The sequence below is a fragment of the Homo sapiens genome, chromosome 9 (assembly GCF_000001405.40).
Source record: "Homo sapiens chromosome 9, GRCh38.p14 Primary Assembly".
Taxonomy (NCBI): domain Eukaryota; kingdom Metazoa; phylum Chordata; class Mammalia; order Primates; family Hominidae; genus Homo; species Homo sapiens.
Window position 1 is genome coordinate 100674566 of NC_000009.12, and position 4809 is coordinate 100679374.

Here is a 4809-nt window from a genome sequence, read left to right on the forward strand (position 1 = left end):
TTGCAATATAATTCCTGGGAAAGAGAGCCTGAGTTGCTTTGCTGAATCATTAATTCCTTCAACATCTGTTGAATACTGTGATTCACATATCAGATGCATTTAGGTGCTCCATCCAAAAATATGGTGTAAACACAAATCTTTTTTTTTTTGGAAAAAGGAATGGTACAAGAAATAAACAAAAATACATACACACCCTATTGTTGGTAGTGATGCATTCCTTCTCAGAATAATATGGTGCCTGTGTGAATAAGGAAGAAAGATATTTTTAGAGAGATTCTCTCCTCACTTTGGAGTATGAAGACAACACCTGCCAAATTTGGCTCAAAATGATCATTGTGCCTTGGCAGACATGCACGTGAACAACTGACTCAGCCACAAGGGTGATTTCAAAAGCAACAGCAGTTTCTGGGCATAGGATTTCAGCTCTGAGCATCTGTTGTAACCCTGTACTATTTCCTTCAATATTTTTAGTAACTTGTAGTTGCAAATGCAAGATTCCTAATAACAGCAGCAATAATGACAGATTTTATGACCCCTAGAACTAAACAGTGTGCTTCAGTTATTGAAGAACCAAGTCAAACATTTTTAAGAGCATCTTCTTTCCCAGGTTACACTTGGAAGAAGTAAAATGTATTTTTTTCAATTGTATCTAGCTCTTTAATGAATAATTTTCATCATTTACTAGTATAAACTGCTAATTTACAACGCAGATTATATTCTGCTATTTTAGCATTCTTTTATAGAGTTAGTATTTTTTTCTAGGAAAAATATCTTAGGAACACATTTACACCTGAACAGGGATGCTGAACATGGATACTAGTTATTTTATTTTTCTATAAATTATTTGATCCAAGCATTATAAAAAGCCCACATAAAGACAATTACAACCAGCAAATATAAAAATGGAGTGACATTAAGTCTTTGCTGTCGCCTTTAATGACATGCTCTGAATGATTATTTCTTCTAGTTAGAGGAGGTATTTGGCCTTATGACAAAACTCATCCTCTTAATTAACCTCAAATGAATGCAAGGGGTATTTTAAAAATTGTGGCCGAGTGATTGTAGCCAACTTTTCCCATTTGACATCTGTGAATTCCCAGGTTAGAATTTCCATAATCTGTGTGGAATAGGTTCATGTGTGGTGTAGAGGAAGGATGGTAAAGTCAGTGTGCATTATATATGTCACTGGCTTTCATTGGGCCTAATTATAGAATGTTGCAATGTTTAAAGTTGTATTAGGTTAGCAACCTCTGACATAGCCTTCCCCAAGTTTGCATGAATGTGCGTACGGAGGCGCAAAAGAAAATCTTAAAACTATTATACCACCTAAGAAGATAAAAGAAAAAAAGCTAACTGACAGAAGGGGGATTTAGAAACACCTCCTCATTTCCTTTTCTGGCACACCCATGCTTTACCATATGAAATAGGTATTTGAAAAACAAAAACAAAAACACAGCATACTCTGATTCCTCTTCCTTGCCATATGTGCCATCTTAGGGACCCTGGGTCTCATATTTCTTCTGCACAATGATTTTTTAAGATGACAAAAGTATCTACTCCCCTATCTTTTTATAATTGTTTATACTAAAGGTTACTGGAAAACAACAGAGTTGGAAGAAGGAGGTGGGTGCTGGCAGGGGGCATGTTGCCCATTACAGAGGAACAAATGAACAGATGGATCTGGGTTAGAATCTTACTTCTTCTGCTTAATAAATGAGAAACTTTGGGAAAGTGACTTATTCTTTCTGAGCTTCAGTTTCTTCATCTCTAATATGTGTATAATATTGTCTCTCTTACAGAGTTATTATATGGATTTGAAGTAGAAAGTGTCCTATATAAAGTTGGCCTATAGTAGGTGTTTGTCTCAGTCTATTTGGGCTGCTGTAACAAAATACCACAGACTGGGTCATTTATTAAACAACAGAAATTTCTTATTGTTTTGGAGGCTGGGAAGTCCAAGATCGAGTTACCAGTAGCCTCACTGTCTGGTCAAGGTTTGCTCTGCTTTAAAAATGGTGCCTTTGCTGTCCTCACGTGGTGGAAGGGGCAAGGCAGCTCCCTTTAACCTCTTTTATAAGGGCACTGCCCTCATGACTAAATCGCTTTCCCGAAAGTCCCACTTCTTAATACTATACGTTATTAGATTCCAGCATGAATTTTGGGGTGATGCCAAGATTCAGAATGTAGCAGTCTTCCAGACATGGTAGCTGTTCTCCACCAGCACCACTATTGTAGTATCCAATAGGTAAAGCATTATGGTTAGGGGAGGAGACAGGATGATAGATGTTTGTTGTAGTATGTGATGGGGGATGTGATTTTTAATTCATTGGTTGGGTTCAGTATGTCAGAGACCCAGACATAGGGGAAAGAACTCTTCTCCTCAGAATTGTAGAGCTGACTGCTAGAAGCCAGGATGGAAACCTACACTTCAACTGTAGGTTGGTAAGTGTGATTCAGGCAGAAATTGGCCAGAATTCATAAACTGGGCAAGTTGTCTATGCTGGTCTCAAACTCCTGGGCTCAAGTGATCCTGCTGCCTTGGCCTCCCAAAGTGCTGGGGTTATAGGCATGAGCCACTGTGCCTGGCACAGTCTACTATTGATGGGCATTTAGGTTGATTCCATGTCTTTGCTATTGTGAGTTGTGTTGCAATGAATGTGCGGGTGCATGTGTCTTAATGGTACAACAATTTATGTTCCTTTGGGTATATACCCAATAATGGGATTGCTGGGTCAAATCATAATTCTGTTTTAAGTTCTTTGAGAAATCTCCACACTGCTTTCAACAATGGCTGAACTAATTTACATTCTCATCAGCAGTGCTTAAGTGTTCCCTTTTCTCTGCAACCTCACCAGCATCTATTATTTTTGACTTTTAAAAAAGAACAGCCATTCTGATGGTGTGAGATAGTATCTCATTGTGATTTTGATTTGCATTTTTGTAATGATTAGTGATGCTGAGCATTTTTTCATATGATCGTTGGCCACATGTATATCTTCTTTTGTAAACTGTCTGTTCATGTCCTTTGCTTACTTTTTAATGGGGTTATTTTTTGCTTGTAAATTTGATTAAGTTTCTTAGAAATTCTGGATGTTAGACCTTTGTCAGATGCATAGTTCACAAATATTTCTGTAGGTTGTCTGTTTATTCTGTTGATAATTTCTTTTGCCGTGCAGAAACTCTTTAGTTTAAGTCTCATTTGTCAATTTTGTTTTTGTTGCAGTTGCTTTTGGTGTCTTCGTCATAAAATCTTTGCCAGGGCCTATGTCCAGAATGGTGTTTCCTAGGTTATCTTTTGGAGTTTTTATAGTTTTAGGTTTTACATTTTAGTCTTTAATCCATTGAGTTGAGTTTTGTATATGGTGTAAAGGAGTGCAGTTTCAGTCTTCTGCATATGGCTAGCCAGTTATCCCAGCACCATTTATTGAATAGGGAATCCTTTCTCTGTTGCTTGTTTTCACTGACTTTGTTGAAAATCAGATGGTGGTATGTGTGCAGCATCATTTCTTGGCTCTCTGTTCTGTTCCATTGGTTTATATGTCCGTCTTTGTACCAGCCTCATGCTGTTTTGGTTACTGCAGCCTTGGAGTATAGTAAATTGATTTTTCCTATCCATGAGTTTTTCCAGTTGTTTGTGTCATCTCTGATTTCTTTGAGCAATGTTTTTAATTCTTGTTGTAGAGATCTTTCACCTTCCTGGTTAGTTGTATTCCTAGATATTTTACTCTTTTTGTGGCTATTGCAAATGGGATTGCATTCTTGATTGGCACTCAGCTTGCATGTTGGTGTATAAAAATGCTACTGATTTTTGTACATTGATATTGTATTCTGAAACTTTGCTGAAGGTGTTTATCAGATGAAGTAGTTTTGGGCAGAGACTATCGGGTTGTCTAGGTATAAGTCACATAGTCTATAAACAGAGGTAGTTTGACTTCCTCTCTTTCTATTTGGGTGCCTTTTATTTGTTCCTCGTACCTGATTGCTCTGGCTAGGACTCCCAGTACTAAGATGAATAGGAAGGCACACCACATTTTTGAAAGAGAAATTATATCAGATGAAACACTTTCTAAAAGAACAGTAATTTAGAGGGGTTTTGTCCGGTAACATATTACAATGTGTTACAAATCAGAATATGGAAAAATGTGTGTTAATGGACTAATGATGGACGTATTAATGAAATTGAAGGCAGAGTCCTCAATAGATCCATGTGATAAAGATCACACTTAAAATAAGTGGGAAGGAAGAAAGAAATATATCGTAAGTCATGCTAGACAGCAGAGGAAACTGTTTAGGAAAAAGTTTTACCTAAAATAAATTCCACCTGAATGCAGATATAAATGTTTAAAAAGACCTGAAGTAAATTGGGTATAGAACAAGTAAATAAATATAGAAGAACTGGCCTAGATGTACGTGTCTATGTCTAAATTTATATCTATACTTACCTACATTTATATCATCTGAAAGTGTGAAAATCTAAGGATGGCACAACAGGCAGAAGCCATAAGAAAATGGAGGACGATTTTGCACATAAAGAATATAAATCATAAATAAACACCATAAATAAAAAGACATATGCATGAATGATGTATTACTTTTGCAGTCTGCTTTCTGATTTTTCTACAATGGGAATTATAGTTGGTGTTCTCTAAGAGGACCAGATATACAGATGATGACAGCAAGGCAGTAGAGCATGGAAACTGAGGGGACTTCAGTGGCATATAACCTCTGTTCCAATCCTGGGATACTTCTTGTGTCACATTAAACAATTTAACCTAGCTTGTCTGTACCTCAGTTCCTTGATCTTTGTAA